General features: G+C 50.2%; 2 protein-coding genes across 26 annotated transcripts in view; one reads left to right on the top strand and one right to left on the bottom strand.

The window, feature by feature from the left end:
* Window positions 1-541: 541 nt before the first annotated feature.
* LOC124904094 (uncharacterized) lies at window positions 542-10,520 on the bottom strand. Of its 11 annotated transcripts, none has more exons than XR_007065967.1 (4): window positions 10,462-10,520; window positions 2,316-2,359; window positions 1,918-2,022; window positions 542-1,551 (listed from the first exon to the last, which is right to left on the bottom strand). XR_007065967.1 is itself a non-coding variant. In XM_047437257.1 (4 exons), the coding sequence occupies exon 1, from the start codon at window positions 6,761-6,763 to the stop codon at window positions 5,723-5,725; it is 1,041 nt and encodes a 346-aa protein (XP_047293213.1). In that variant the 5' UTR covers window positions 6,764-9,733; the 3' UTR covers window positions 542-1,016; window positions 1,431-1,551; window positions 1,918-2,022; window positions 2,316-5,722. The 11 variants fall into 11 exon arrangements, 6 of the variants coding, with proteins under 6 accessions (XP_047293213.1, XP_047293212.1, XP_047293216.1 ...); XR_007065968.1 differs by lacking the exon at window positions 10,462-10,520 and adding an exon at window positions 10,249-10,305; XR_007065966.1 differs by lacking the exon at window positions 10,462-10,520 and adding an exon at window positions 10,090-10,174.
* QTGAL (queuosine-tRNA galactosyltransferase) overlaps window positions 9,937-27,134 on the top strand; it is a 109,622-nt gene continuing 92,424 nt past the window's right edge. For 12 of the 15 annotated variants that reach the window (XR_007065267.1, XR_002957964.2, XR_002957963.2 and 9 more), the window contains exons 1-4: window positions 9,937-9,970; window positions 12,922-13,038; window positions 13,137-13,236; window positions 26,608-26,672. Coding sequence is in view for 6 of the 15 variants with exons in the window: in XM_047435396.1 (XP_047291352.1) it covers window positions 9,956-9,970; window positions 12,922-13,038; window positions 13,137-13,236; window positions 26,608-26,672 (297 nt within the window). In the remaining 9 variants the exon portion in view is untranslated. Of the gene's footprint in view, window positions 11,279-11,364; window positions 11,483-12,921; window positions 13,039-13,120; window positions 13,237-26,607; window positions 26,673-27,134 lie in introns of those variants that run through there. The other 3 variants (XM_047435393.1, NM_001320742.2, XM_047435398.1) reach the window with 3 other exon arrangements.

Below are 27,134 nucleotides of genomic sequence, written 5' to 3'. Positions count from 1 at the left end.
TTCCACCAATGGAAGAGAGAATCCAAAGGGGAGGTTTCAGGCCCTGTGGATATTGGCTGGTTTGGTGATGACTTGGGGGATGCGTTCCAAGCACTCCAGTGGATGCCTGAAACCTTGGATAGTGTTGAACCCTGTATAGACTATGTTTTGTCCTATATGTACAGCCCTTTGATAAAGTTTAATTTGTAAAATAGGCACAGTAAGAGATTAACAATCACCAATCATAAACAGCAATTACAACAATCTATGGTGATAAAAATTATGTGAATGTGGGATCTCCCTCTCTCTCAAGGTATCTTACTGTGCTGTACTCACCTGTTTTCTGCAGTTGAGCACAGACAACTCAAGTCGGGGATACGGGGGACGACTGTATTAGCAAGTTCGTTTCAGCTCGATTGCCTAAACCTGTGGATTTTCCTTTGAACCAGTTTTAATATCTTCCTGCTTCCCTCATGAATTAATAAGTTAAATAAAACTTTTGACTTAACACGTGTATTAGTCCATTCTCGCATCGCTATCCAGAAATACCTGAGTCTGGGCAATTTATTTATTTATTTATTTATTTATTTATTTATTTTATTATTATTATTTGTTGAGATGGAGTCTCGCTCTGCTGCCCAGGCTGGAGTGCAGTGGCGGGATCTCGGCTCACTGCAAGCTCCGCCTCCCGGGTTCACACCATTCTCCTGCCTCAGCCTCCCGAGTAGCTGGGACCACAGGCGCCCGCCACCACGCCCGGCTAATTTTTTGTATTTTTAGTAGAGACGGGGTTTCACCGTGTTAGCCAGGATGTTCTCGATCTCCTGACCTCGTGATCTGCCTGCCTCGGTCTCAACAAAGTGCTGGGATTACAGGCGTGAGCCACCGTGCCCGGCCGAGTCTGGGTAATTTATAAAGAAAAGAGGTTGAACTGGCTCCGGGTCCCACAGGCTGTACAGGAAGCGTGGTGGCTTCTGCTTCTGAGGAGGCCTCGGGGAGCTTCAACTCGCGGCGGAAGGCGAAGCTGGAGCAAGTGTCTCCCACGGCAGGAGGAGGAGGAAAAGAGAGGGGGAAGGGGCCACACACGTTTAAACAACCAGATCGCAAGAGAACTCTGTCCCAGGACAGCACCAAGGGGATGGTGCTGAACCCTTCATGAAGGGTCCACCCGCGATCCGGTCACCTCCCACGCGGCCGCCTCTGACACGGGGGATCCCAGTTCGACATGAGGTTTGGGTGAGGACACAGATCCAAACCTTATCAATGTGTGTTCATTCTAGATTTGTGTGTCATGATTTTACTTTTTTGAATATTATCTTTTAACCCTTCATTGTCTGATACAACAGAGTCTCACCAATTAAACTTTGAGAGACCCATTTATGAATCCACACCAGGCCCTTGTTTATGAAGGATATTATGAGACATTTAGTCAGTCATTGAACGATACTTACTGAGCATCTGCCGTGTGCCAGCAGTGAGGGGAGCAGTCTTCTCCGCATGGGGTCATCAGAGGCTTCTGAAACCGACTGGGAAGTCAGAGAAGATCCCAGAGGAGGCGATGCTGGAGGCTGGCTTTGAAGGACAAGGAGGAATTCACTTTAGGGTCCTACCTTAATGAGGGGGTGTTGAGAAGGACAGGGTCTGGGTAGCTGGAACCACCCACAAAAGGGCAGCCATGCTGTCCTGAAAGGGTGGGGATATGGACAGCTGTCACCAGGTGAGCCTGGATTCAATCTGCATTTTGTTTGTTTGTTTTTGAGACAGAGTCTTGCTATGTTGCCCAGGCTAGAGTGCAGTGGTGAGATCTCAGCTTGCTGCAACTTCTGCCTCTCGGGTTCAAGCAATTCTTGTGCCTCGGCCTCCCAAGAAGCTGGGATTACAGTTAGCCGCCACCACATCCCACTAGTTTTTATACATTTAGTAGAGACGGGGTTTTACCATGTTGGCCAGGCTAGTCTCCAACTTCTGACTTCATGTGATCCACCTGCTTCGGCCTCCCAAAGTGCTGGGATTACAGGCATGAGCCGCCGCACCCGGCCAGATCTGCATTTTGGAAAGATGCCCCTGTTCACTGTGGATGCGCAAGAGGGTGAGGCAGGGAGACCCGGGGTGGACGTGCCAGGCAGGCCTGGCCCCGCAGGGACCGTGACATGGGGCAGTAGAGGTGGGTTTTAAGGTGGTGGATCTGCAGGTGCTGGGTGTGCCAGGTGGCAGTGGCTGGAAGTCTCCAGGCCTGTCCTGGTGTGGGACGCCCAGGAGGTACCTCAGGTGTGTGGGGCAGGTGTTGGGCATTGGGGGCAGGTGTTGGGCATTGGGAGCAGGGTTGTGCCTCCTACCTGGGGGCTGGGGGTGCCTGGGCCAAATCCGCCAGAACCGGGACCTAAGAGTTCAGAGGGCATCAGAAAAACGCAAAGACCCACTGGCACCCCAGAAAAACGCAAAGACCCACTGGCACCCCAGAAAAATGCAAAGACCCACTGGCACCAGGCAGGTCATACTCCATGAATTTGTACATTCAGGCTTTTGGTACCCAAAGTTGGTGTTTCCATGGCGACAGGGCCCGAATGGCCATTGAACTCTCCTCTAGCCTGCAAGAGCCAGTGTGGGTCTCAGGCAGCTGACAGCCTCTGGAGGGTGCATGGACGGGCTGAGCGGGGGCATCTTCCTTGCTGGGCACAGCACAGGTGACCAGGCCGGGGTGCAGCTGCACGGCCGCACTGACCACTGAGCAGGTTCTGAAGGGCCGTCTACGTATGCGCTGGGGACAGGACCCTCCCCCATTAATGGTGCCCCGGCAGCCTGCTGTGAGCCCCGCCTTCCACAGCCACATCAGACTCACATGGTCCTCTTTGGGTCACCAGGGACTTTGGGCTGAGTCCTGCACCTTTAGGAGCTGAATAACCCCATTTGTTCTCAGGACCTGGCCCGGGTTCCCCTGCCCCAGCCTCTCCGGCCCCTCTCATGCCCCATGTGGGCTCTTCGCTCTCCCTGTGTAGACCACACCCACCACCCCACATTAGAGCCACGGACTCATCTTTCCCTCCAGACTACGGCAGGCACCACAGCGAGAAATGCGCTTTCTATCACGGTCCAGCACACACTGGCATAGAACGTGCAAAACCAACACAAGCTTTACAAATCAATGCAGCTCTTACTATATGGGACAGACTCACACTTCATCTTTAGGAATTGCCAGTCAGAGCCCAGTGTACTGACCCCATGACCCCTGGTATACTGGCCACAACCTGCAATTTGAAAACTACCCTAGGCCCTGGCACTGAGCCCTTCCCAGAGTGGATGCCCAGGAACGCTTGCGGATTCCATCCAGTCACGGGGACGGCTGGGCTGCCAGCTCCTTCGGTGATCCACGTCAACACCACCCTTGCCTCCCTGGCAACTTGGCGGGCCAGGTGCACGCGGCGGCTTCTCAGTCCAGCGTTCATGTCTGTGCACTGACCGTGTGAAGCCGCGGCACCGAGCACCCCTCAGTCAGCAGTGCAATGTGGGGAGCGCTGGTGCGGCTCCCCAGGCCGGCCAGGTGTCTCGCCTGCATCAGCCGACTTGACTCCACTTTGCCATGAGGAATGGATGCCTCTGTGGACACCAGGGCTGGCATGCCAAGGCCACTTGGCCAGGACGTGGCAGAGCTGAGGGCAGGTCCCGGTGTGGCCCCTGGACTGGCTTCACGCACTGTCCAGATGTGGCTTCTCCCACAGGCTGGCATCACACCTGCTTCTCGGCAGCTGTCTTCCACGTGCGCTGCAGGGCCAGCTGGGGAGGACATCTGAGGGAGGCCGAGGCAGAGCGGGGGCGGCTCCACCTTCGACAGTGACATCAGGGGCACCACAGGGCCCTCACAAGGTCTCATGCAAGACGCAGAGGTGCCCTGGAATGTCCTGCTTCCCATTTATCCTCAGCATTCACTCAGGCACCAGTCGAGCCCAGCCCTTTCTCCCACGTGTGAAAAATGTTATGTTATCTCATGGGAGTGAGTTCCATAAATCACGCTTGGAACCCCCATGAGACGTCTTCCGCCCCTGTTTAGGAGGAGAGTGTCTAATTGAACACGGAACGTTGTTCAGCACAGGCCTTTCCCGTCCACGTCAGCTGCTAACAACACAGGTGCCCCTGCATTGAGCATAACTGGGGCCGCACCCACTCGGCGTCCGCAGGCACCTGCCATCCACTGTAGATTTCCCCAAGACTTGGAGAGCTGTGGGCTTAGGTCACCTCCAAATCCACCTTGAGTGCTGAGTGTGCAGGAGGGCAGCTCCGGCTTGCGGGGCCGTCCCCTGGAGGTGAGGCTGCTGTCTCATTGTGCATCTCCTCCTCCTGCCAACCTGAGAGCTGGCTCCTCTGAGTCAGCCTGTCCCACCCTCCGGGTCCTAACTCCAATTCCTGCAGGGTGGCCTCTGCAGTGAGAAGAGCCTCAGGCCTCGGGACACCTGTGGGATCCTGCAGTCACCACCCCAGGGCCAGGACAGCAGAAGCCCCGAGGCGCAGCTCCAGCTGACAACAAGCAGGGGCTCCTCACTGCTCGGATGGAGAATTCTCCAGGCTTGTGGAGGTCCAGGGTCCAGCCCTCGATGTGGACCCTCAGCAGAGCACGCTGGTCCTGGCCCCCTCCCCGCTCCTTCCTGGCCCCTGCCCCAGCCTCCTGGGCGTGAAACGCTCCATGTGCAAGCCCCTGACTCCGGCTCTGCGTTCTGGGCTCAGGCGGGACGGGGGAATCCAAGACAAACATGGTCCCTAGTACTTGATGCTCACCTAGAATCCACAGCGAGCATCTGCCCGGCTGATGACGGAACGGTTCTGGTGACAGGAACCTCCCCCTTCCTGTAGGCCCAGGGAAGGAGGGCAGGCTGTGGCTCCAGGTCAGTCATGTGGCACTGGGCTTTAACGAGGTAATATTTGCTTGGAAGTTTGGAGACGCTCCGTCAGTCGGATCTCCTTCTCTTTCCAGAAGGCCTGACGGTGCAGGTGGGTGGAGCCAACACTGACTGCGTGCTGACTTGGGCAAGGCGCTGGGTAGGGCTTGGTCCCTCCAAGGGGCCACATGAGGCCGTCCCTTCCCTCTGACGTGTAATAGAATTTCACGGATCTGCAGAACGCCGTCACCTCAACTTCTCTGTCCAGGCTCTGCAATTCACAGGCTTGACTTTCCTTTCGTAGGATCAGCCCGTACCCCCCGGAGCTCCAGGCCGGTACCCCCACCCCTGGCTCAGAATTATCCTCCTGAATTGACTCTGGGTTTCCCTGTGCAACTAGAATCCTACAATCCCCAACAGGTCTGAATCCCAGGAATGTGGGCGGCTGAAAAATGGAACTCGAGGGACCACATCCGCACTTAAGTCTACTGTCCTGAAGACTTTTTCATTTATTTTTTTGTAGATTACTTTTTTAAAAAGCATGGGCTGCAACTCCTTAATAAGTCATTAAATCCACATGGTGAGTCACAGCCTTTAAATAGCTGAGACAGAGTAGGAGAGATGACCTCAGTGCACACATCGCCGAACAGCCAGGCTGCCCTCACGGGCTGCTTTATTATGGGGGTGCTATGGTCACCACGTGCAGAGTCTCCTACAGTCTCGAGCGACCCTGCCCTCCAGGCAGCACCCACTGCCTAGGGGAGGTCGAACCAGGTCTGTTGAGGTTCATCCCCTCTGGAGACTTGGACACACGAAGGTCTAGGGGATCAGGCTGTTGAAGGAACCTGTTGGGCTCTTGTCTTTAAAGCTTGAACTCAGCCCTCACTAGCTGCACTCACATCAGAATCATTCTTACTGGGGACCCAGTGTCCCCCAAGTCTAACACCGTCCGTGCGGACCTGCAGGGAACCTCTGTCTCCCCACCCAGCACCGAGTCTAACACCATCTGTGCGGACCTGCAGGGAACCTCTGTCTCCCCACCCAGCACTGAGTCTAACACCGTCCGTGCGGACCTGCAGGGAACCTCTGTCTCCCCACCCAGCACCGAGTCTAACACCGTCCGTGCGGACCTGCAGGGAACCTCCCCACCCAGCACCGAGTCTAACACTGTCTGTGGGGACCTGCAGGGAACCTCTGTCTCCCCACCCAGCACCGAGTCTAACACCGTCCGTGCGGACCTGCAGGGAACCTCCCCACCCAGCACCGAGTCTAACACTGTCTGTGGGGACCTGCAGGGAACCTGTCTCCCCACCCAGCACCGAGTCTAACACCGTCCGTGCGGACCTGCAGGGAACCTCCCCACCCAGCACCGAGTTTAACACCGTCCGTGCGGACCTGCAGGGAACCTCCCCACCCAGCACCCAGTCTAACACCGTCCGTGCGGACCTGCAGGGAACCTCTGTCAACCCACCCAGCACCGAGTCTAACACCGTCCGTGCGGACCTGCAGGGAACCTCCCCACCCAGCACCGAGTCTAACACCGTCCGTGCGGACCTGCTGGGAACCTCCCCACCCAGCACCGAGTCTAACACTGTCCGTGGGGACCTGCAGGGAACCTCTGTCTCCCCACCCAGCACCGAGTCTAACACCGTCCGTGCGGACCTGCAGGGAACCTCTGTCTCCCCACCCAGCACCGAGTCTAACACCGTCCGTGCGGACCTGCAGGGAACCTCTGTCTCCCCACCCAGCACCGAGTCTAACACCGTCCGTGCGGACCTGCAGGGAACCTCTGTCTCCCCACCCAGCACTGAGTCTAACACTGTCTGTGGGGACCTGCAGGGAACCTCTGTCTCCCCACCCAGCACTGAAGGCTGCTGAGAAGTTCTTCGATTTGGAGACCTGATGTCTTGGTCCATTTGTGCTGCTGTAACAAAATACCTCTGACCATGTGATTGATAAACAGTAGAAATGTATTGCACACAGTTGTAGAGGCTGAGAAGTCCAGGATCCAGGCGCCAGCAGACTTGGTGTTTGGTGACAGCCTGTTCCCCAGAGATGGTACCTTCTATGTGTCCTCACGTGGAGGAAGGGACAGAAGGGCTCCTTCAAGTCTCGTTGAAGGGCACTCGTCCGTCATGAGAGGACAGCCCTCACGGCCCAGTCACCTCCTTAAAGCTCCATCTCCTAACCACATCGCCTTGGGGGTTAGGTGTCAACATATGGTTTGGGGGGACACACACATTGAGACCACAGCACCTACTCCAGGCCCCTGGCAACTGGTACTGAGTCCTCTGAATATAGCCAGTATTCGCCAAAACCTTTTGCACAAACAACAATTAAAAATAAAGAAAACTGGCTATCTGCAATGGCTCTCACTTGTAATCCCAGCAGTTTGGGAGGCCAAGAGCTCGAGACCAGTCTGGGCAACAGCAAGACCCCATCTCTACAAAAATAAAATAAAATAAATAAATACAACTGCCCACTCAGTGAACCCAAAGCTGTGGGGCGTTTTGTGTCACTTCCTCTGCTGGTGCCCACGTGACGTCAATCATCTTTCATCAGCACCTCACTTCCCTCTGAACGAAGACCACACGATCTCCACCCGGCCAGCTCTGAGGCCCCAGGTCCTCCTTCCTGTCTCTCTCCAGGGTACAGTGTCAGTGCCTTCTGTCCGGGCCCTCTGCTGACCTCTCCCCGAGGATCTTCCTACTGCGAGGGCAGTGATCTCAGGCCCCACCACCCTTGGATTTCAGGACCCCACCTCTGCAACCCTGCATTTCTGAAACGCACCTTGGCACTTTGAATGTTCCCAAAAAGGAGATTCTAATCAAATTTGAATTAGGGGGAAGTCAGTGAAAAGCAAATTTCTGGCACCAGGAAATGTACAGGAAGGAAGGTGAGAGGCAAGCCCAGTTCTGGACACCATGTGCTGTGGAGGGGCAGAAGCCATCTGTGACCCCTGACCTCTGGCCCTTACCACCTACCTTATCATGAGCCTACGGCGCATTCTGGCAGCTACAGGGCTACTTTTTACTGAGTCCTTTACAATGAAATGATTCCTAGTACCCCAACCTCTGGAGAACATGAAGTCCCTGGAAGCAAATTCTCAGATAGCTTTTGCTGAACGGTAAATAAGGCTGCATTTTCACTCATGTGACTTAAGCAGTCCACTTGTAAAACAGGCTTTGCAAACAAGGAGGCAATTTAAGGGAAAAAAAACCATCTATGAAGTGATGCTTAACAGAAGTTTGGCTTTGTTGTAACGGTTAATTGACAGAATGATTTGCATTTAATCTTAGTTTTGGACAGCCAAGGATTTGTCCAGGAAGGGCTGCTTACAGCCATGCTCATTAATTGTGAATTACTCATTACTTCAGATCAGCTGGAACAAATCCCAAGCGGGCTTAATCTCTGTGTGCAGGCAGCCCAGGGCTAATGGCAGCAGTCCTTTTTATTGACCCCCACGGCCCTGTCCCCAGTCAACCTCCTCCAAGCAGGGAGTTTCCAGAGGCCTCACAGCCGCCTGGGAGACCCCTCATGGCAGGCTGCTCCCTTGACAAGTTCAGAACTGCTGGGGTTCCCGGCCGCGCGTTCAGGACTCAAATCTGGAGATATCCGCTCTGTGCTCCTCAAGTATAAGGTTAGATAGGGATGGGGCCTGGCCTGTGTTCCTGGCAGGGAAGGCCACCTCTGAGCTCCCCCAGAGCCCGGCCGCCTTCTCCGGGTTCCCAGCCCTGCAGTTCCCAAGGCTGCATGCGGAGGCGGAAATGAGGGCAAAGGTGGAGGGTACCCGGAGCTACTGAGGTCATGTCTTTCCCCAGGCACCCCTTCTCCTGGGGGACCTCACGGTGGGGTCAGGGCCTCACTCCCGGGCACCCCTCCTCCTGGAGGACCTCACGGTGGGGTCAGGGCCTCACTCCCGGGCACCCCTCCTCCTGGGGGACCTCGCGGTGGGGTCAGGGCCTCACTCCCGGGCACCCCTCCTCCTGGGGGACCTCCTGGTGGGGTCAGGGTCTCACTCCTGGGCACCCCTCCTCCTGGGGGACCTCGCGGTGGGGTCAGGGCCTCACTCCCGGGCACCCCTCCTCCTGGGGGACCTCCTGGTGGGGTCAGGGCCTCACTCCTGGGCACCCCTCCTCCTGGGGGACCTCGCGGTGGGGTCAGGGCCTCACTCCCGGGCACCCCTCCTCCTGGGGGACCTCCTGGTGGGGTCAGGGTCTCACTCCTGGGCACCCCTCCTTCTGGGGGACCTCACGGTGGGGTGAGGGCCTCACTCCTGGGCACCCCTCCTCCTGGAGGACCTCCTGGTGGGGTCAGGGCCTCACTCCTGGGCACCCCTCCTCCTGGGGGACCTCGCGGTGGGGTCAGGGCCTCACTCCCGGGTACCCCTCCTCCTAGGGGAGCTAACCCCGGGCACCCCTCCTCCTGGGGGGACATCTCAGTGGGGTCAAGGCCTCAGGCCTGGGCACTTCTCCTGGGGGACCTCGCCCCGGGCACCCTTCCTCCTGGATGACACCCCGGTGGGGTCAGGGCCTCACCCCTCTCCTGGGGCCGTCAAGTGTCCTGCACGCCCTGCTCTCCCTACCGCGTCTGTCTGAAAGGACGCCCTGCAGTCCCCTCGTCCTCCCCGGTCAAGTAGCACAGCCCACAGCCCGGGTGAAATGCAACGACCTTTTACATATCAGCCTTGCTTGAGGCTTTACAGCAACTCCAGGCCGCCTGGCTTGGGTTTGCAGCGCGGCGCCCTCGCACAGCCCCGCCTTCCCCGCGGCGGCGTCTACGGGGGACCAGAGATTGTGACGCGCGCCCTAGGGGAGAGCAGGAGGCTTCCACGGGCCAAGGAGGCGGCTCCGAGAGGTGACCCGGGACCGGGGCGTGGCCCAGGGCGGAAGACTGAGGCGGCGACCTCCCGGCCCCGCCCCGCGCCGAGCAGCCCCGCCCCTTCCACGCCCCTCCGGGAGGCCCACCCCTATGGACGCCGCTCTGCACCAATCGGAGATTGCCTGGCCTCAGACCCGCCTCCTGGTGCCGCCCGCGCAGGCGCCGTAGGCCGAAGCGGCGGGATGAGCGGAGCCGGCGTGGGCGGGGCGTCCGAGGAGAGCCAGGCCATGCAGGCCCACGTGGTAGGTGCCAGCGGGGAGGGTGCCCCGCCGTGCAGGCTGGGTCCTCGCGTCCCCTCACCCCGCCCTCCAGTCCTCTCTCGCTCCGGGGTTCGCAGCCCCGCACCGCCTCTCGGGCTCACCTACGGGGTCTCCGCCCTGAGCAGCCCTTAGGCCCCGCGGGCGAGCGCGGCTGCGCGTGCGGGGGACGCTCGGGATTGGAGCCCGCGGGGCGCGGCCGAGATCTGCAGCTCCGGCTGCGCTTCCTGCCCCCGTCCCGCGAGCGTGGCCTCCTCACCGACCTTCCTCGTTCTGATTTTGAAGCTTCCGGGCTCGGAGCTCAGGCAGTTCCCCGTTCGCCCTCACCTGGTCGTGGGGTGGAGGAACGGCGCACCTGCCTCATCCCCGCCCGCCTGCCCCGCGCTCCTTCCCCGCGCCCGCACACCTGCCTCGCTCCCGCCTCGCTCCTGCGCACCTGCCCCGCCCCCGCGCACCTGCCCCCGCACCTCACACACCTGGTCCGCGCACCTGCGCATCTGCCTCGCTCTTACGCACCTGCCTTGCCCCTGCACGCCTGCCCTGCACACCTGCCCCGCCCCCGCACACCTGCCCCACACCCCACACACGTGCCCCGCGCTCCTGACTCGCCCCCGCGCACCTGCCGCGCGCACCTGCCTCGCTCCCGCACCCCACACACCTGGTCTGCACACCTCCCCGTGCCCCACACCTGCCTGCACACCTGTCCGTGTGCCCCCACACAACCTCGCACCCCACACGTCTGCCGTCACACATTCCCGGCACACTTGCCCATGCCCCACACACACGTCTTGTGCCTGCACACCTGCTTCACACACCTGCTCTGCGTCCTGCATACATGCCCGTGCCCCATACCTGCCCGTGCACCTGCCGTGCACACCTGCCTGCGCATCCCACACACCTACCTGCACACCTCCTCCGTGCCCACACACCTGCCTGTGTGCCCAGCACACTTACCCCAAACACGTGCCCTAAAAACCTGCCCTTAAGCCCCGAACACCTTCCCCGTGCTCCGGCAGAGGCTGGAGCAAAGGCCCTCAGGGTTCAGACCCAGCCAATAGGCCGATGCAGGGAACAACCACAGGGATGTAGGATTAGCAGTCGCCCAAAGGCTCAGCATGTTTTCTGTTTTTTGTTTTTTTGTTTGTTTTTTTTCCAGCCTTTTTTCTTTTTTATTCCAGTCTTACTAAAATTGGTAACAGGTGAATCAAGGTCTATCTTTGATAGAAACATTATATTTTGTAGATCTTGAGAAAAATTATTTCCTTCTTTTCCTCTAAGTAAATCCAAACTAAGGTAAATTTGTAAATAAATTAGGGAACTCGTTTTATTTTTTTTTTAATTTTTATTTTTTGAAATGGAGTTTCACACTCGTTGCCCAGGCTGGAGTACAATGGCGCGAGCTCGGCTCACCGCAACCTCTGCCTCCCGGGTTCAAGCGTTTCTCCTGCCTCAGCCTCCCGAGTAGCTGGGATTACAGGCATGCACCACCACACCAGGGTAATTTTGTATTTTTAGTAGGGACGGGGTTTCTCCATGTTGGTCAGGCTGGTCTTGAACTCCCGACATCAGATGATCTGCCCGCCTCGGCCTCCCAAACTGCTGTGATTACAGGCGTGAGCTACCGCGCCCGGCCAGAACTCGTTTTATTCTTATTAACCTAAGTCCAGGAAGAGACAGAGTGAGGTTTCATTTGTAAAGAACTTGACTAAATTGTGTTTTCAACACAATTTCAACTTTTCTTTTTTGGATATAAATTAAGGGTGAGGACAGACTAATCTCTTAAGTATCGCTCCGTATCACTTAATATTATAATGTATGAAATTAAGACTTAACTCCTGTAATCAGTTGTTTTGTTGGCATTGAATTTCCTGGTTTTACTCCATCCCACTTTATAAATTTTTGTTTTGGGCTTCATGAGAAAAGGACAATGAGAAAAGGACACTAGCTACACTAGCCCGAAACGAAGTGTAGGACAAAGGAATCGAGAGATGGACGTCAGGCCTCCCATTTGCTCAGCTGGGTTCTTTGAACACCTCCTGCCCGATACTTTGTTAAAACATTGTTTTTTGTGGGCTGAGGGGTTACTTAAAGGGGTTACTTTGTTGCAGGTTTTCTAACATGGTTTGCCGAAATGCTTATTCCACCTAGAACATGACCAGCCAGCACCTGTAATCCCAGCTACTCGGGAGGCTGAGGCAGGAGAATGGCGTGAACCCGGGAGGCAGAGCTTGCAGTGAGCCGAGATCGAGCCACTGCACTCCAGCCTGGGTGACAGAGCGAGACTCCATCTCAGAAAAAAAAAAAAAAAACCAACCAGTTATTTTCATGAGTGAGTTGGAAGATACCCAGATACTTGTTTCAACCAAAATGATGTTTCTGATCAGTGATTGGAAAACTCATGATTTACCATTGAGTTGGGAACAATTTGATGCCTTTCAGTTTTTTTGTTTTGTTTTGTTTTGTTTTTTTGAGACAGAGTCTTGCTCTGTCACCCAGGCTGGAGTGCAGTGGTGCAATCTCAGCTCACTGCAAGCTCCGCCTCCCGGGTTCACGCCATTCTCCCGCCTCAGCTTCCCGAGTAGCTGGGACTACAGGAGCCTGCCACCACGCCTGGCTAATTTTTTGTATTTTTAGTAGAGATGGGGTTTCACCATGTTAGCCAGGATGGTCTCAATCTCCTGACCTTGTAATCCACCCACCTCGGCCTCCCAAAGTCCTTTCAGTTTTTTTTTCACTTTCAAAAACATGTAGAAGGCAGTTCAGGGAAAGCTAAGACGTAAAGAATCTTACAAGCATGTTAAGAGCCTGGAGAAAAGGAGTGGACACCTTTTGTTTGTCACGGCATATGTGCGGGTGGTGAAGGGGAGGTAAATTAGAGCCATGGAAAGGGAACTAAGTTTTCACACTTCTGTTAATCCATTTCTTTTGAATTCCAGTCTATTATCCTCCCAGTCCACAACGCTGAACCGTGGCTGGACGAATGTTTGAGGTCTGTTTTGCAACAGGACTTTGAAGGTACCATGGAGCTGTCTGTTTTCAATGATGCCAGTAAGGTTTGTAGGAACTTCCTGTCGGGTGACTCAGCCCCAGTGTAAGCAACGGTTGACTGTTCGGAGGGAAGTTTCCTGACCTGCCAGTGTTCTGCTTTCAGGACAAGTCTGGGGCTATCATTGAAAAATGGAGAGTGAAGCTGGAAGATTCTGGTGTCCACGTGATCATTGGGGGGCACGATTCTCCCTCTCCTAGAGGCGGTAAGTAAACATGCTTAGTTTATTAAACTATAATTCGTGGTTTCTTATCAACTTACGTACCGAAACAGTTTCATGTTGTTCAAATACTGACAAAAAGTATCCTGGTGGTAATTGGATATACCACTTATTAAGAACCTAGTAGAGGCCAGGTGTGGTGGCTCACACCTGTAATCCCAGCACTATGGGAGGCCAAGGCAGGCGGATCCTTTGAGGTCAAGAGTTCAAGACCAGCGTGGCCAACATGGTGAAACCCCATCTTTACCAAAAAATACAAAAATTAGCCGGGCGTAGTGGCACACGCCTGTAATCCCAACTACTTGGGAGGCTGAAGCATGATAATTGCTTGAACCCGGGAGGCAGAGGTTGCAGTGAACCGAGATCGTGCCACTGCACTCCAGCTGGGGTGACAGAGCAAGACTCCATCTCAAAAAAGAGAAAGAGAGAGAGAAAGAGAGGAAGGAAGGAAGGAAAGAAGGAAGAAAGGAGAGGGAGAGAAAATGAAAGAAAGAGAAAAAGAAAGAAAAGAAAGAACCTTAGTAGACCTAAAATTTTTTATTGTTTGGTAGGATTTATTATAGACCTAAATTTCTTATTCTTTGGTAAGGATTTATTATAGACCTAAATTTCTTATTCTTTGGTAGGATTTATTATAGACCTAAGTTTCTTATTCTTTGGTAGGGATTTATTGTAGACCTAAATTTCTTATTCTTTGGTAGGGATTTATTATAGACCTAAGTTTCTTATTCTTTGGTAGGGATTTATTATAGACCTAAATTTCTTGTTCTTTGATAAGGATTGATTATAGACCTAAGTTTCTTATTCTTTGGTAGGGATTTATTATAGACTTAAATTTCTTGTTCTTTGATAAGGATTGATTATAGACCTAAGTTTCTTATTCTTTGGTAGGGATTTATTATAGACCTAAATTTCTTATTCTTTGGTAGGGATTTATTATAGACCTAAGTTTCTTATTCTTTGGTAGGGATTTATTATAGACCTAAATTTCTTTTTCTTTGATAAGGATTGATTATAGACCTAAGTTTCTTATTCTTTGGTAGGGATTTATTACTATGATCTGAATGTCTGTGCCCACCCCGAGATTCATATTTGGAACCCCCAGGGTGATAGTATTAGGATGACATTAGGTGGGGACTTTGGGAGGTGATTAGGACATGAGGGTGGGGCCTCACCAATGAGATTAGTGCCCTTATAAAAGAGGCCGCTCAGAGCTCCCTCACCCCTCCTGCTCTGTAAGAACACAGGGAGAAGGCACCTCTGTGAGCCAGGAAGGGGCCCTCACTAGACACTGAATCTGCTGGAGCGTTACTCTTGGATTTCCCAGGCTCCAGAACTGTGAGAAGCCCCTTCTGCCACCCAGTCTGGGGTATTCTGCGGTGGCACGCAGGCTCTTCCAACCCTGGCAACCACTCGCCTGCTTTCTGTCTCTGTAGATTTGCCTGTTCTGGACATTTCATGTGAATGGAGTCAGGTTCCACGTGCTCTTTTGTAACCGGCTTCATTTAGCATAACGTTTTAACGTTCCTCTGTGCTGTGGCATGTATCGTGCTCCGTTCCTTTTTCTGGGAGGATGATATGCAGTTGTACATAAGTACCATGTTTTGTGTGTCTGTTTGTCAGGCAGTGGACATTTGAGTTGTTCTACCCTTTGATACTGTGAATGATGACAGTCTGAACATTTGTGTACAGTTGTTGTTTGAACACTGGTTTTCAGATCCTTTGGGTATATTCCTTGGTGTAGAATTTCTGGCTCATATTGTAATTCTGTGTTTAACATACTGAGGAGCTGCCAAACTTTTCCACAGTGGATGCATTTTACATTCCTACCAGCAATGTATGAACGTTCCAATTTCTACATATCCTCATCAACACTTGTTATTTTCTGTTTTTTAAATTATAGCCATGCTAGTGGGTGTGAAGTGGTGTCTCACTGTGGTTTCCATTTGAATGTCCTTGTTGACTAAAGATGTTGTGCCTCTTTTCGTGTGCTTGTTGGCCATTTATATATCTTCCTTGGGCCAGGCATGGTGACTCACGCCTCTAATCCCGGCACTTCGGGAGGCCGAGACGGGTGGACCACCTGAGGTCAGGAGTTTGAGACCAGCCTGGCCAACATGGTGAAACCCCATCTCTACTAAAAATACCACAAAAAAAAATTAGCCAGGTGTGGTGGCATGCACCTGTAATCTCAGCCACTTGGGAGGCTGAGGCAGGAGAATCGCTTGAACCCGGGAGGCAGAGGTTGCAGTGAGCCGAGATGGTGCCACTGTACTTCAGCCTGGGTGACAGAGTGAGACTCCATCTCAAAATAAATAATAAAAAATAAATGGGCCGGGTTTGGTGGGTCATGCCTGTTATCCCAGCACTTTGGGAGGCCAAGGCGGGTGGATCACCAGAGGTCAGGAGTTCAAGACCAAGCTGCCCAACATGGTGAAACCCCGTCTCTACTAAAAATACAAAAATTAGCTTGGAGTAGTGGCAGCGGCCTTTAATCCCAGCTACTCAGGAGGCTGAGACAGAAGAATTGCTTGAACCCGGGAGGCAGAGATCGCGATCTCTGCTGTGAGCCGAGATCGTACCATTGGACTCCAGCCTGGCAACAAGAGCAAAACTCCGTCTCAAAAAATAATAAATAAATAAATAAATGTATATCTTCCTTGAAGAAATGTTTATTCAAGTATTTTGGCCATTTTAAAAATTGAGCTGTATGTGTTTTCATTGTTGAATTGTAAGAGCTCCTTATATGTTCTGGACACTAGAGCTTTATTATATATAATTTGCAATTTTTTTCCCGTTCTTTGGGTTATCTTTTCACCCTCTCGAGAGTGTCCCTTGATGCACAAAAGGCTTATGATTTTGATGAAGACAAAAATCTAATTTATCTATTATTTCTTTTGTGGCGTGTGCTTTTGGTGTCATTTCTAAGAAGCCACGGCTAAATCAAGGTCACGAAGATTTTATCTGTATGTTTTCTTCAGAATTATACTTGTAGCTCTTATATTTAGGCCTTTGATCTATTTTGACTTAATTTTTATGTATGGTGTGAAGCAAAGGTCCAGCTTCATTCTTTTGTAAGTAGATACTCAGTTTTTCCAACACCATTTAAAAGACTATTCTTTCTCCACTGAATTGTCTTGGTATTCTTGTCAAAAATCCATTAACCATAAACGTATGGATTCATTCCTGGACTCCAGATTCTATTCCGTTGGTCTATATGTCTGTCCTTACGCCAGTACCTCATTGTTTTGATTACTTGAGCTTTGTGATAAGTTTTGTGAATTGTTTTCTTAATTTTCTTTGAGAGTGCTCATTTCTAGGGGATAAACAACAGATTTCTCTTAGTGTTGACCTTGTATCCTACAATTATTAGCTCTAATAGTTTATTAGCTTTAATAGTTTGTTCTTTGTGGGTTTTTAGGATTTCCTGTATTTAAGATCATATTATCTATGAGTAGAGATAGTTTTGCTTCTCCTTTTACAATTTAGATTCTTTCTTTTTTTTTTTTTGAGACAGAGTCTCACTGTGTCATCCAGGCTGGAGTGCAGTGGCACGATCTCAGCTCACTGCAAGCTCCGCCACCTGGGTTCAAGCAATTCTCATGTCTCAGCCTCCCGAGCAGCTGGGTCTACAGGCGTGCGCCACCACAACCAGCTAATTTTTTTGTATTTCTAGTAGAGACGGGGTTTCGCCATGTTGGCCAGGCTGGTCTCAAACTCCTGACCTCAGGTGATCCGCCTGCCTTGGCCTCCCAAAATGCTGGGATGACAGGCGTGAGCCGCCGCGCCTGGCTTTTATCTTTCTTCATCGCTCTGGTTGGTGCTTCCAGGACGGTGCCGAATAGAAGTGGTGAAAGTGGGCATCCTCGCTTCGGTTCTCCCAAGCAATTGTAGGGGAAAAGCTTTCAGTCTTTCACCTTTGAATATGACGTTAGCTGTAGGTTTTTATAAATGCCATTTCTTACGCTAAGGAGGTTTCCTTTTAATTCTAGTCTGTTGAATTTTTAAATCATGAAAGGGTGCCGGATTTTGTCAAATGCCTTTTTGACACCAATTTGAGATGATCATATAGTTTTTTCCCCTTTATCTGTTAAGATGGTATGTTACGTTGATTGATATCCTATGTTGAACTGCCCTCACATTATTGGGATAAATCCCACTTGTTCCTGGTGTAAAATCTTTCTAGTATACTGCTGGATTCAGTTTGCTAGTATGTTGTTGAAGATTTTTGCATATATATATTTGTAAGGGCTATTGGCCTGTAGGTTCCTATTCATATGATATCTTTGTGTGGCTTCGGTATCAGAGTAATACTGGCCTCATAGAATAAGTGTTTCTTCCTCTTGTTTTTTGGAAGAGTTTGGGAAGGATTGGTGTTAGTAATTCTCTGAGTTTGGTGGAATTCATCAGTGAGGTCACCTGACTCTGGGCTTTTTTGTTGGGAGTTTTTGTTTTTTTTATTACTGAGTCAATCTCTTTATTTGTTATAGGTGTGTTGAGATTTTTTTTATTTCTTCTTGAGTCAATTTTGGTAGTTTGTTTCTAGGAATTTGTCCATTTCATCTAGGTTATCTAACTTTTTTGGCATATGTTGTTTTTCACACTGTCATAATCCTTTTAGTTTCTGTTAAGTTTGGGAGTCATGTACCACTTTTTATTTCAGCATTTTGAGCTGTCTTTCCTTCTTTCTCAGTCTAGCTGGGTTTGTCAATTTTGTTGACCCTCTTCAAAGAATCAACTCTTTTTGTTGATTTGCTATTGTTTTGTCATTGTTTGTTTATTTTCACTCTAATCTTCACTGTTTCCTTCCTTCTGCTAGCTGTGTGTTTAGTTTATTTTTCTTTTTCTAGCTTCTTAAGGTGTACTTTTAGGTTCTTGATTTTAGACCTCTTTTATGTAGGCATTTATAGCTATAAATTCCTTTCTATGCACTGATTTTTCTACATCCTGAAAGTTTTGGTTTGTTGTGTTTTTGTTTTCGTTTGTCTCTGAGTATATTCTAATTAGCCTTATGATTTCTTCTTTGACATATTGGTTGCTGAAGAGTATATGGTTTAGCTTTCATTTATTTATGAATTTTTCAGTTTTACTTCTGTTACTTATTTCTAGTTTCATTTCACTGTGGTCAGAGAAGATACTTCATATAATTGCAATCTTTAAACAAATGTTTAAGGTACATTTTATGGCCGGACGTGTCACCTGTCCTGGAGAATGCGCTGTGCACACCTGAGAATGTGTGTTCTGCTGCTGTCAAGTGGAGTATTCTGTATATTTCTGCTAAGTCTAGTTGGTTTATAGTATTGTTCAAGTTCTCTGTTTATTATCTTCTCTCTAGATGTTCTCTCCATTATTGAAGGTAGAATGTTGAATCTCCGACTGTTACGGTAGAACTGTTTCTCCCTCCAATTCAGTCAATCTTTGCCTTACTTAATTTTGTGACCCTCTTGTTAGATGTGTACAGTTTTATGCTTGTTATATCTTCTTGATCAATTGACTCTTTCTTTGTCTTTTCTAATAATTTTTGAGTTGAAGTCTATTTTTTCTGATATTAGTACAGCCACGCCAGCACTCTTTGATTACTAGTTGCGTGGAATATCTCTTTCCCTTGTTCCACTTTCAGCCTACTTGTGCCTTTGGATCTGAAGTGAATTCCTCATATAGACAGCATTTAGATGGATCATAATTTTCAAGATCCGTTCTGCCAGATTTTGCCTTTTAATTGGAGAATTTAGTCCATTTACATTTAAAGTGATTACTGACAAGGAAGGACTTTTGCCACTTTGCTATCTGCTTTCTATATGTCTTATGTCTTTTTTATTCCTCAATCCTGTATTACTACCTTCTTTTCTGTTTAATTGCTTATTTCCGATGTGCCATTTTGATTCCCTTCTCGTTTCCTTTTCTGTGTATTTCTAAATGATCGTCTTAGTGGTTACTGTGAGGATTACGGTGAACATCTTAAATTTATAACAATGTAGTTTGAATTAACACTTAGCTTCAATCATGTAACATTAACATAAATTCATAAATTATTTTCATGAATGTAGATTTAGATTTATAATTGTTTCCTGGTGTGTGTGTGGCAGTAGGGGGCAGGGGCTCACTCCATCACCCAGGCTGGAGCGCAGTGGCGTGATCTTGGTTCACTGCAACCTCCACCCAGTAGGTTCAAGTGATTCTTGTGCCTCAGCCTCCCAGGTAGCTGGGAATACAGGTGCCTGCCAGCACGCCTGCGTAAGTTTTGTATTTTTGGTAGAGAGGGGGTTTTGTCCTGTTGCCCAGGCTGGTCTCGAATTCCTGGACTCAAGTGATCCACCCACCTTGGCCTCCCAAAGTGTGGGGATTATAGGCATGAGCCACAGCACCTGGCTTGTTTTCTGTATTTGTTTTAAAAGCATATAGGAAAAATACAAACCAAAATAGTACTATCTTTTATATTTACCTGAATAGTAAACTTTATCCCTGTTCTTCATTTGTTCTTTCTCTATGAGTTCCTGTTTAGTGCCCTTTCATTTCAGCCCTACAATGAACTGCCTCAGTTTTTGTTTATCTTAGAATCTCTTACTTGCTTCTTCATTTTTGAAAGATGACTTTGCTGGATATAGGATTCATAATTGACAGTGTTTTTCTTTGAGCACTATGAATACAGATGGCCCCCAGCCTGTGATAGTTCAACTTACCATGTTTCAACTTTATGATGGTCAAAGGCAACACAAATTCAGTAGAAACCATGGTTCTGTCAGGATACCAGGCAGTGGCCATGAGTCACAGCTCCCAGGCCCCCAAGCATTTTTGACTTATGATGTTTTAAACTTACAGCAGGTTTACCTAGACATAGGCTCACCCTCAGTTGAGGAGCATCTGTGTGTGACCCCATTGCCTGTGGCCTTCATTGTTTCTGATGAGAAGTAAGCGGTTAATCTTACTGAGGGTCTCTTGTAAGTGACAAGTGATTTTCTCTTGTCGCTTTCAATATTTTGTCCTTATCTTTGGTTTCAGCATTTTTACTATGATGTGTTTAGCTGCGAATCTTCTGTGTTTATCCTACATGGAGTTTGTTGAGCTTCCTGGATGTGTAGATGAATGTTTTTCAATAATATGAGAATTTTTCAGCCATTATTTTTTCAAACTTTTTTTCTGCTTATTTCTCTTGCCTTTCCGTGTGGTACTTGCATTGTGCATATGTTGGTATAGTTATTGGTATTCCAGCTTTCTCTGAGATGCTTTTCACTTTCTTCATTCTTCTTTGTCTCCATTTTCAGATTCAGACTTACCCATCTATCTCTGTGTTTGCTAATTTTTCTTCTGCATATTTAAATATACTCTTGAGCTCCTCCAGTAAAATTTTAGTAATTTGAGAATTTTTCAGCCATTTTTTTTTTTTTTTTTTGAGATGGAGTCTCGCTCTGTCACCCAGCCTGGAGTGCAGTGGCATGATCTTGGCTCACTGCAAGCTCTGCCTCCCAAGTTCACGCCATTCTCCTGCCTCAGCCTCCCAAGTAGCTGGGACTACAGGCACCCTCCACCACACCCAGCTAATTTTTTGTATTTTTTAGTAGAGATGGGGTTTCACCGTGTTGGCCAGGATGTTCTCGATCTCCTGACCTTGTGATCCGCCTGCCTCGGCCTCCCAAAGTGCTGGGATTACAGGCATGAGCCACTGTGCCCAGCCTCAGCCATTATTTTTTCAAACTTTTTTTCTGCTTATTTCTCTTGCTCAAGAATATTTTTATGCTCAGTTGACAGATTGGCTGGGTATAGAATTCTAGGTGCAAAATAATTTTTCTTAGAATTTTAAAGGGATTGCCTCATTATATTCTAGTGTCCATGTTTCTAATAAGAAATCTTACACCAGTCTGACTCTTGTTATTTTAAAGGTATTGTTTCTCAAAGTATTTAAGATTTTTCTTTTTGTACTTTTGAATTTTGAAATTTCATGATGCTGGGTCAAGCTGTGTTCAGGTTTCTTCATTCACCCTCTGTTTTTATGTTGAATGATTAGCTTGTGTTCTTAGCTTTGATTGTAATAGATCAGGGTCCTTTTAGTTTGACTTTAAAGTTTCCATATAAGACTTGAAAAAAATATGCCTGCCTATATTGCATGGGGCTGAAAAAGTCAAGGTTGGCAGATGATACGTTTTTAGTTGGTGGACGGGTTCCTACAGATTTTAGGAGTCACAGCTTCTCTAAGATAATGGTCGTCAACTTTGTGCACGTTAGAATCATCAGTGAGTTTTAGAAAACCAGTGCCTGAGTCTCACCCTAAGATATTCTCATGTAATTGGTCTGGGGTGCAGCGTGGGCATTGGGATTTTAAAAGCTTTCCAGAAGATTCTGAGACACATCCAGGATCAGGAGCCACTGCTTTAGAATGTGCTCAGGAATGGGTGGCATCACCCCACTTTCTAGTGGACTTGGTCCTGAGGGAGTCTTACAGCTATGACGTATTTCAAGGGCAAGCGGCTGAGGGTTTACGGTCCCTCTGGAATGTCCCCATGTGAGAGCCTGGGGAGTTAAGTCCTCTGTTGGGTCCTGTTCAGATCTGTGAGACTCACAAAATCACAGGCTCACCTGCGGGGTGTCTCAGTGGACAGGAGCAGCTCCTGGCCCCAGCTCTTCTCCTGCAGTGCCCTGGGGCTCAGAAGACGCAGGAGTAAAGTAGACTTGGGTGTGGGGCCAGGCTGGTGGGGTCGGCTCCACGGCCACCTCGCTCTGCCTCCGTTTCCTTATTTGTGAACAGGTCGTGGTAGTCAGCACCCATCTTGGAGTGCTGTGAGGTGTGAAATGAGCTAATCTGCAGTGTGTCTAGAACAGGGGCGGGCAGCGGGCGCCCAGCAGTGTGTCTAGAACAGGGGCGGGCGGTGGGCGCCCAGCAGTGTGTCTAGAACAGGTTCGGGCGGCGGGCGCCCAGCAGTGTGTCTAGAACAGGGGCGGGCGGCGGGCGCCCAGCAGTGTGTCTAGAACAGGGGCGGGCGGCGGGCGCCCAGCAGTGTGTCTAGAAGAGGGGCGGGCGGCGGGCGCCCAGCAGTGTGTCTAGAAGAGGGGCGGGCGGCGGGCGCCCAGCAGTGTGTCTAGAACAGGGGCGGGCGGCGGGCGCCCAGCAGTGTCTAGAAGAGGGGCGGGCGGCGGGCGCCCAGCAGTGTGTCTAGAAGAGGGGCGGGCGGCGGGCGCCCAGCAGTGTGTCTAGAACAGGGGCGGGCGGCGGGCGCCCAGCAGTGTGTCTAGAACAGGGGCGGGCGGCGGGCGCTCAGCAGTGTGTCAAAAAGCCAGGGGCATAAACAGGTGCAGAGAGGAAATGCACCCAGGGAGGTGAGTGCCTGTTCTGCCCTGGGATGGACGGTGGGCAGCGGGCACTCAGGAGGTGTTGGCAGCTGTCTGTCATCATCATTGCTGTCATCATCATCGTCTTGTGTATTTGGAAGATGTTTTTTCCCAAGTTATATCTTGTTTTCATTATCTTTCGTTGGTTTGAAATAGAAAACTCTTTATAAATTGATTATTGTAGAACATCTGTTTCAACTTGCTTCTGTAATGTGTGTAAACAAATTGGTTTTTGAAACTACTATAAACATCTTTTAATATTTTTTTGTTGTTGTTGAGATGGAGTCTCACTCTGTCGCCCAGGCTGGAGTGCGGTGGCGCGATCTCGGCTCACTGCAAGCTCCACCTCCCAGGTTCTCGCCATTCTCCTGCCTCAGCCTCCCAAGTAGCTGGGACTACAGGAGCCCGCCACCACGCCCGGCTAATTTTTTTGTAGTTTTAGTAGAGATGGGGTTTCACCGTGTTAGCCAGGATGGTCTCGATCTCCTGACCTCCTGATCCGCCTGCCTTGGCCTCCCACAGTGCTGGGATTACAGGTGTGAAACACTGCGCCCGGCCTAATATTCTTTTAAGTTAAAGAATATTAGAGAGAGTTTTGCATCTTTTATAGTTGGATGAAAACAAATTTAAAGTATTTTGGTGACTGTTGTGACACTCCTTGTCTAAAAACATTCATCTATTTTGAAAACATTTTGCTTTTCATAAAGTACTTTTTATAGATTAGCTCTAACTTGAGGCATATCCCATTTGTATGAATTCTGCCAATAATAAAAACAATCCGTTGTAAAGTTCTGAAGGACCGAGGTGAAGGGCTGAAATGAGCCGTCCTGCTGCCTGTCTGAAGTGTGGGTAAGGAGACCTCGTGGGGACCCTATTCTACACTTTAATAAAATATGGTTGGTTTGGTTATAGCTGAAAGGGACGTATTTTCCTGTAATGATATTTTTTCTTGAATAGGGAGAGTTATATTGACTATTAGATAACATAGATCCAAAGTGTCTCTTTTCAGAAGTGCTGGGTATTTGAAATGGGCTGATTCACTTATTACGATTCATGCACTAACGGAGCCCCACTTTCCTAATAACGTCGCCGCTTGCTAAAACCAAAATGAAGTACAATCCCCACTCTTCTCTCCAGGAGGAAGGAATGTTAATATCTCGCCGCCGTGTGAGTTTTTCCTGCTGAGACCATGGCAACCAGATCCCCTCACAAAGGGACTGGCCTCCCCAAGCAGGAGCCCCACGCAAACATTTGACTTTCTTCAAGGCAATAATATTAAAGCAAATTCCTTGTCTCTGCCAAACACAGGATTCATTGTGAGAAACTTCCAGCTTCCTTAGTGAGATAAGTCTTCCTTCGTTACCCAGGCTCACGGATACCCTTCTCTCCTGAAACCTGACGCTAACAAGCCGCATTGTGAGCAGAGCCCCTGTTGAACAGTGTGCCTCGTGGAAGGCCCCTTCCGGCCCTTCGTCCTCACAGGTGCCTCCGCCTGTGTTTCTCGTGAGGAGCTTCAGGGCACTCACCTGGCCCTGCAGCGATGATGGAGGCTTGGCTGCAGCGGCCCTGGAGACACGGCCCACCATCCATCCCAGGGCAGAACAGGCGCTCGCCTCCCCGGGTGCATTTCCTCCCTGCGCCTGTTTATGCCCCTGGCTTTTTGACATCTGGGATCCTCTGGCTAACTGGGTTGAGCTGGCTAAACTTTAGGGATTAATGCTAGAAATTAAACTGCTACCTGGTATGAAGAGGGGCACTGCTCCGGGTTGGAGAACGCAGAGAGGGTGGGAGACTCTGTGCGTCTCGCTTCTGTGCGGCTGTGCGGTCCCAGTGGTGCCGTGAGCTTGCTCGATGCCCCCCCGGAACAGGGCAGCCCCCGTGGGGTGGGAGCCCTGCCTTCCCCTCCTTGTAGTGGAGACGGGAGAGTGCCACGGGTGTGGCCGAAATGCACACTTGGCCACTGTCCCTCCAACAGACAACTTTCTGCAGCTTGTCTTGATTTGGATACCAGAGAGATCTATTGCTTAATTCTGCACACGTCTGTTTTGCTTTGTATGACTTTCCTGGGTGCCATGATGTCTGTAACTGTCCGGTGTTGCCAGCCTCTTTTCTAGGGAAAGTGGGTATCCTGCCCCTTGGAGCCTCCTCAGCACCCTCATTTTGGGCTAAATGCCACCTCTGATCCACCCGCCATTGGCATCGAAGCTGAGCTTGCCACGCATGAATTTCTGCTTGTTACTCCTTGTTCAGAAGCCTTCCTTGGCTACCCCTGCTGGCAGGGGGAAGTTGAGCCTTCTTAGCCCAACATGCAGTTCCCACAAAGCTGCCCAGTGCCTGCTTTCCCAAACATAGGCTGCCCCAGATAATGAGGGCTGCCCAGACTGCCCACCGCCCACAGGGCAGCACCCAGGACGGTGGTCTGCCCTGGGCTGCCTTGCTTCTGCTGGTTCACGTTCTTAACAGCCTCAGGCTCTTGCCACAGCTCCCTAACAGGGACCCTTTAGGCCTCCCTATCCCCGTTTTCAGTCCCGTTCCTTTGGCGTTTAACCACAGGTCATCGTTCAGCCTTTTCCAGCTCAGTTGTGATGTCTTTGAAGACAGAGATTTTTTGAAACTCCTCTTAAAATATGATATCCATACAGAAAAGTGCACATCACAGTCTTACTGCTGGATGAAGGTTCATAAGCTGCACACACCATGTAACCGGCACCCTGAGGAAGAACAGAAGATCGCAGCCCCCAGAAGCCCCCTCAGGCCCCTCTGGTCACCCCCTTCCCCAAGGGCAGCTGCTTTCCTAGTTTCTCACAGCACAGAAGAATTTCGGCTGCCCTCGTGCTCCGGGCCAGGGCCCCCACCCAGCAGCTGCTCCCTTCTCTGCTTAGCAGCCTGGGAGAGGCACCCACGCTGTGTGTACAGCCCTGGAGGGTGCCTTCTTGTCATGTATGTTTCCAGCTTTTCCATTCTGCACTTGGGTAGTTCCCAGTTTTGAGCTCTGATGACAGTGCTGCTCTTGGTGGCCATGCAGATTAAGTTCTGCTGGGTTTACGCCGCACAGTATCTGTTAGGATCAGAGCTGGGTCATGGGATGTGCACCCACTCTGGTGTTGTAGATGCTGGCAGCACATTCAGCTCATCACAGAGATGCACGCCAAGAGGATCACCCACCACGCGTCCAGCCCAGTGACCTCCACCAGCCCATCACACACGTGCAAACCGCCCTCCGAGGGTCTACCTCAGTGACCTCCACCAGCTCATCACACACGTGCAAACCGCCCTCCGAGGGTCTACCTCAGTGACCTCCACCAGCCCGTCACACATGTGCCAGCCCCCAACTTCCCTCTTGTGACCGGATCCTGACTTTCATCAGGGTAGACTTTACAGACTTCCTTCCAGGGATATTTTAATTTTGTTTAAAAAAATATTCCCAGGACTTAGCTTAGTGCTGTACTCAGTAAAGGTCCATCTCATTTTTTTTTCCTTCAGTGAGTGTCAGACTTTAATGAAGTACCCAGTGGACTCTGTGTTTTATCCTTGTTCTCATTATGCCACCTACCAAAGGTGGAATATTGTCTCTCTCTGACTTTCCTTTCATTCCTTTGAAAGCTGACCCACATTTTTGGTGGCAGTGCAAAATGTTCCTAGCTTTCTTATAGAACATCGTATATTGGGCGGGTGCGGTGGCTCACATCTGTAATCCCAGCACTTTGGGAGGCCGAGGTGGGCAGATCACCTGAGGTTGGGAGTTCGAGACCAGCCTGACCAACATGGAGAAACCCCCAAATACAAAATTCGCCAGGCGTGGTGGCAGGTGCCTGTAATCCCAGCTACTCAGGAGGCTGAGGCAGGAGAATCGCTTGGACCCAGGAGGCGGAGGTTGCAGTGAGCCAAAATCACGCCACTGCACTCCAGCCTGGGCAACAAGAGGGAAACTCCATCTCGAAAAAAAAAAAAAGAATATCATATACTAAGCTCTATGAAAGAGAATGCTGCTGGAAACTGAATTATAAAAGAGTTTTGCTCTTCTTTTTTCCACAGTCGGATACGCTAAAAATCAAGCAGTTGCCCAGAGCTCAGGGTCTTACCTTTGCTTTTTGGATTCGGTAAGTAACTTTCTTTTGTTTATAATGTATAAATGTGTACATGTTGGTTGAATAATTAAATGATCTTACATTTTAGTGCGGTTCTTGAAAATCATTTTTCTAATGGTTATTAGACTAATAATGTGTTAGTCCGTTTTCATGCTGCTGATGAGGACATAGCCGAGACTGGGTAATTTATAAAGAAAAAGAAGTTTAATAGACTCACAGTTCCATGTGTCCGGGCAGGTCTCACAGTCGCGCATGTCTGACGTGGCGGCCGATGAGAGAGGCAGCTTGTGCAGGGAAACTCCTCCCTTGAAGTCCATCAGCTCTCCTGAGACTCACCCACTATCACTAGAACAGAAATGCCCGCCCCCGTGATTCAGTGGCCTCCCACCGGGGCCCTCCCACGACACGTGGGAATTGTGGGAGCTACAGTTCAAGATGAGATTTGGGCGGGGACACAGCCCAACCTTATCAAAT

The sequence above is a fragment of the Homo sapiens genome, chromosome 17, assembly GCF_000001405.40.
Source record: "Homo sapiens chromosome 17, GRCh38.p14 Primary Assembly".
Classification (NCBI taxonomy): domain Eukaryota; kingdom Metazoa; phylum Chordata; class Mammalia; order Primates; family Hominidae; genus Homo; species Homo sapiens.
This window is presented reverse-complemented; position numbering and strand designations above follow the sequence as displayed.